Source organism: Homo sapiens, chromosome 8 (genome assembly GCF_000001405.40).
Source record: "Homo sapiens chromosome 8, GRCh38.p14 Primary Assembly".
Classification (NCBI taxonomy): domain Eukaryota; kingdom Metazoa; phylum Chordata; class Mammalia; order Primates; family Hominidae; genus Homo; species Homo sapiens.
Window position 1 is genome coordinate 46,993,416 of NC_000008.11, and position 5,722 is coordinate 46,999,137.

A 5,722-nucleotide genomic window follows, 5' to 3' on the forward strand; every position below is an offset into this window, starting at 1 on the left:
CTCAGGATCTTGTTGATTTGCACAGCTTCAAATCAACTCTAGGACTCACATCCATGTCTTCTGCCCTCAATTCCAATCTTGTCTTTTATATATTTTTCTACATTTTAGTATTCATCATTTATTCTGCAAAATCATCTGCCTGTTCTATTAGGGTTTTTTGTTTGTTTTTTTGGTTGGTTTGTTGGTTGTTTTTGAGAAAGTCTCACTCTGTCACCCAGGCTGGAATGCAGTGGTGTGATCTCGGCTAACTGCAACCTCCGCCTCCCGGGTTCAAGCAATTCTCCAGTTTCAGCCTCCCAAGTAGCTGGGAATACAGGCGTGCACCACCATGTCAGGCTATTTTTTTTTTTTTTTTGTATTTTTAATGGAAATGGGGTTTCATTATGTTGACCAGGCTGGTCTCAAACTCCTGACCTCAGGTGATCCACCTGCCTTGGCCTCCCAAAGTGCTGGGATAACAGGTGTGAGCCACCATGCCTGGCCTCTATTAGTTTTTATTACAACTTCACATACAATAAACTCATTTTTGTATGACCTCAGATCTCTAAATTTCAGGGCTTATATGTATGAAGAGACTGTCTAACAGTTCCACCTACCACACCACAGCCCTGACAATGCCTAGTTTGCAAACTTATTAATATATACATTTGTTTACATCACTTAGCTGAAGAATTAGCAATGGGTTCACAACTGCCAGGGCCAAATGAAAAGACAATATTTCTACAAGTAAGTAAGCTTACACAAATGGTTTTACAACAAAAACTCTTTTCACTTTTAATAATTATTAAATTAATATAATTAATAAGAAATAAGTTATTTCTTAAAAATAAGAAATTTTTAAGCATGATGTCAAACATTTTCGAGTTTTAGCAATTGGATGCCAGACACACAAATGGATGCCAGACACACACCTTCAGCCACCTAAACAAATACTTCATTGTTTCAAAAATTAATGTATTGCTGTTCTATAGTGTGATGTCCTCAGCAACTTTCTTTCTTCAATCTCTTCTCCCTCCTTTTATTTTCCTGTTTCCTTTCTTTCTTTCCCTTTCTTCCCTCTTTTATTAATAAATCTAAGAAGTTTGCTCAGATCTTTCTGTTTACATAACAAGTCATTTTAAATGATCAATTTCTTTAAGTGGTATTTTGACCAAGTCATCTAAACATGGCTGATTTGGGAAATCAGGCCTTAAACATTCCAGTTTCCAAGTAATTTTTTTAAAAACTCTTTTTTTTTTTTTTTTGGCTAAAATGTATTATTTAAGAACATGAATTCTGAAGCTTTTAAGAACACAGTATAAACCTATTTTTCTACTTTCTCATTTGATCTATGAATATCAATTAGGTCAAACTATAAGCAATATTTAATAAATAATTTTTATAAAAAACATAAATTCATGAATCTGTCATAAAAATCCTTGAATAACTGTAAAATATCACCATTTAAACAGTGCTGTATCTATGTTACTTCAACTTTATGTGAAGTTTCCTAGCTATTAGTTTATAGAGTATCTGTGGTTTGGAATATCTACCTTCTAAAAATTGCTTGAATATCTAAAAACAATACTCATCTTCTTTCTGGAGTAACATTAATCTGGTCAACTCTTGTAATTTAACATTAATTTAATGGATGACAAACCAACTTGGCAAAAGAGTTTCTACCAAGGTGTCAAACTCAGTCTTACTAGTCTGTCATGGCACTTCAGGAGATTAAACAGAGAACCCGTCTTCTGCTGCCATGTCATCTGATAGTTTCTAATGATAAATACATCTCACTGATACTTCTGCCTCTGTTTTTATTTATGTGTCACTTCTATCTTTTTTAGTATCAATTGGTTTCTAGTGTTTTTGGATTTAATAGTTCAGTAAAATTTCAAAACAAAAAATTAGGATGTCAACACAAGATTATTCCATTTTTAAAGCCAGAATACTAAAATTTAAATTCAATTCCTCTCACCTAATATTACAAAGTCAAAATCTACTGTCTATCCTTACTTTCCTAATTTTACTATTGATGGGAAGACAATTGTTTTTCCTAGGAAGAGAGGAACATATTTGCTTCCTTTTACATTTGTAATTTTTTGTTTTCTTTCTCACTAGCTTATTCTTGTTTATTCTTTTTCTAGCAAACAATGCCTCACATTCACTCTTCCATGAGAATTTTTTTCTATCTTAACAGTTTGCAGACTACCTCCCCACAGTGCCTCTCATAGCTGCAGTTAAACAGCTTTCGCAAATAAACAATCTTAACTGAAATTAACTTGTTACTGTTTAAGTGAGAAATTTTTGGTATTTCTGAAACATATAGCATAGCCAAAATTAATGTAAAATAGGTAACAAAGAAAACTGATAGAATGCAATTTTCCAGAAATATTCATTTTGGGGGGGATTAAAATGTCACCGTCTTTATATTCAGAATATGCTGTATATTCAGAGGAATAAGAATGGAAGTTCCAGTCAGTCCGATTTTCTTTAGTCCATATTTTAAAAGACCAGTGTGTCAAGACTTGTGGGTTTGTTATATATGCAGACTAGCAAGTTCAGTTAGCCAAATATTGAGTAACTTCAAACTATCTCCAGTTGTACTGAGATCACCCATGCTAGAGAAACATTGATATTTTAATCTATTCTTCAATACTGAAAAAATTAAGGGAAAGCTTATATGTTTTTCATAATATTATTTACCAAACTAATAATATAAACTTCCATACTTACCTTGTCTCTGCCTTTATAGCCCATGAGTTGCCTTTTAGCAAACCATGCTAGAATGATATAGAGTTACTTACATCTTAGACCTATCAAAAGAGCCTCAGACATTTCATTCAGTTTGATTGATGGGAGAACATTTATCTAAGTATTTCAAAAATATTTATTGTGCACACATCTACCCCAAACATGTTACTATATGCTGGAAACAAATAGGTAAATAAGGTAGTTATGATGGCTATATTGGTCAAGTTTATATTTTAGAGAGGGAGATATGTAATACATAAGGAAACAATTAGAAGAAAATAAATACAATATTTGCTGCTTGTACTGAGATATTTTAATCAAATAGATAGATCGGCCTAATTTCTGTTGGTTGGTCAAAGACAGCCTCTTTGCAGTGCAGACTTGTGAGCTGAGAGGTGATGGAGAGAGGAAGCCAGAGAAGCTGCTTCCCACTTACTTCCCAGGCACTGCCTCTAAAGGTGATGTTTTATGTTTATACATATAGCATTCTATGATTTCATTCCATTCTGGAATGGTACTGAGTAATATAGGAGGGAGGAAATTCTAGGTCTGTGCCCTTACAATAGGCTGCGGTACTGAAAACCTCTGCTGGGGAATACTGTATGTATACATGAATATTTCCATAAACACGCTCATATCATCATGTATGTGTGTGTGTTTATTTATCTATCTATATCTGTCTATATTCATACAGAGTCACACTATAGAAAATAGAAGTATTGGTAGATGGAGGCAGTGAAAATAATATAAAAAGAAACTTCCATACATGTGAAGACCTATCTGCCCTATAAGCCATATCCACAATAGTACACAAATAAAGGTACACTCTGACATACATCCTGCTGCATTTCATATATACTAGGAAACCATTCATTTTTGTTGCTCTTCTGTGAGTAGAAAAACGTATTAAGGCCAAAGCATCATTCATTGCAAGATCGATGTTAATCCTTCCTCCTCTGGTGAGCACCAGGCCAGAGATGAACCAGCCCCAGTCCAAAGGCCCTCGCCCAAATCTGAGAATGCCGACTTCTTCTCTTCAGGCTTTTCATCAGGACAGGAGCTTTATTTTTTTTCTATAAATGTGTGATGTAGGAATACACTCTTGTCGTTAATTTTTGCTGGCTGGAGAAAGGTCTTTTTGGTTATGGGAAGAGAAGCCTAGATATATTCCCTGAAAATAGACTGTTGTACTGAGAGCAAATGTTAGGGTGCATGGTACCTGGGCAAAAGGCAACAGGCCAGGGTCAACATGCACTCTAGGGCCAAAACTGGCTGTATCGGTCAGGCCAATTGTTCTTTTTGTCAAAGGCTTTACCCACTGATGTTAGCCAGCTCTTCCCAGTCCTAGCTGAATGGACAGAACCCCACTGGGCTGGTTTCCTGAGCCCTTGAATTAAAAACACCTGGGTGCCAGGTAACACGGACTTTGTCACAGGTAGGAGAATGGAGTATGGTGTGTGGCTTGGATTAGATTCACCTGTAGTGAGCTAATTGGCTGATTGGATTCACTTGGGCTGGAGCAGCTGAAATGAGAGATGACCACTGACCTAGTTTTTTTATGGGGCTTTCTTTTGTATATAGATAGGCACATAAGTAAACGCACACATACAGCATTATATGAGTATGTCTATGTAATGTTCATTTGTAAGTATGTCTGTGTAAAAAATCCCCAAATAAAATCTAGATTAAAGGTCATTTCAGATTACAGCCCCTGCAGCCCAGGTGAGTCAAATCAGCCAGTTAGCTCAGGCCAGGTGAGTCCAGTAAGCCAATGAGGTGACTCGGGACTGCTGAAGCATCAAGCGAAGCCAACAAGAATGGATGCGAAGAACACAGACATCCCTCGAGAAGGAGTGTAGGGCCCTGAGGTGCTGAGTGGGACATGACGCCTTATATGGCAGCACAGCTTGCTCACTTCCTGGACCTTTTGCCTGAAGGTGAAGCTTTATCTTTATATGGACAACATTCTATGGTTGTGTTCCATCCTGGAATGGTATTGAACCATATAGGAGGGAAGAAAGACAAGATCTATGCCCTTACGATAGGCTGGAGTATTGAAAACATCTGTTGGGAAATATTGAATGTACACTGAATATTTCCAAAGGCATCTCATATAATACTCTATGCCTGTGTTTATCTACCTGTCTATACCTATATCCATATATGTATATATCGATATTCATACAGAGTAAAAGATATACAAGGTAAAAGTATTGCTAGGTATTAAAATAATAATATTAAAAAAGTTTCCATACATGTAAAGACCTATGTGCTCTATAAATGATATCTACATAGGACACAAATGAACATATACTCTAAATACATCCTGATGCATTCAATGTATACTAAGGAATGATTGATCCTTTCTGCTCACTTCTGTGAGCAGTAAATTCCCTAAGGCCATGGGAGTCATTCACTGCCAGGTCAGTCATGACCCTTTTCTTTCCAGTAGACACCAAGCCAGAGATTAATCAGACCTAGTTCCAAAGGCCTTCACCCAATTTTGTTTGCTCATTTGTTTTTTGAGATGGAGTCTCATTCTGTCACCCAGGCTGGAGTGCAATAGCATGATCTCGGCTCACTGCAACCTCTGCCTCCTGGACTTAAGCGATTCTCTTGCCTCAACCTCCCAAGTAGCTGGGATTACAGGCACACACCACCACGCCTGGCTAATTTTTTGTATTTTTAGTAGAGACAGGGTTTCATCATGTTGGCCAGGCTGGTCTCAAACTCCTGACCTCAGGTGATCCACCCACCTTGGCCTCCCATAGTGCTGAGATTACAGGCATGTGCCACTGCACCCGGCCTGACAAGTACACTCTTGTTGTTCAGGGTTGGTTGTGGAGAAGGGTCTATTTGGGCAAAGAAAAAAACTCTAGGTCTGTTTCCTGAAGATAAACTGCAGCACTGAAAGCATATGTGAGAAAGCATGGTTCCTGGGCAAAAGGCAACTAGATTAGAGTGAACATGTGCCCAAGTGCCAAAGGCG

General features: G+C 37.2%; 1 annotated feature.

The window, feature by feature from the left end:
• Nucleotides 4,522-4,770: a silencer, noted in NCBI's record as "fragment chr8:47909560-47909808 (GRCh37/hg19 assembly coordinates)". NCBI's record gives its function as "represses an EF-1alpha promoter that drives an FKBP-Casp9 reporter gene in an ReSE screen in HepG2 liver carcinoma cells {active_cell/tissue: HepG2}" and the evidence as "EXISTENCE:reporter gene assay evidence [ECO:0000049][PMID:32094911]".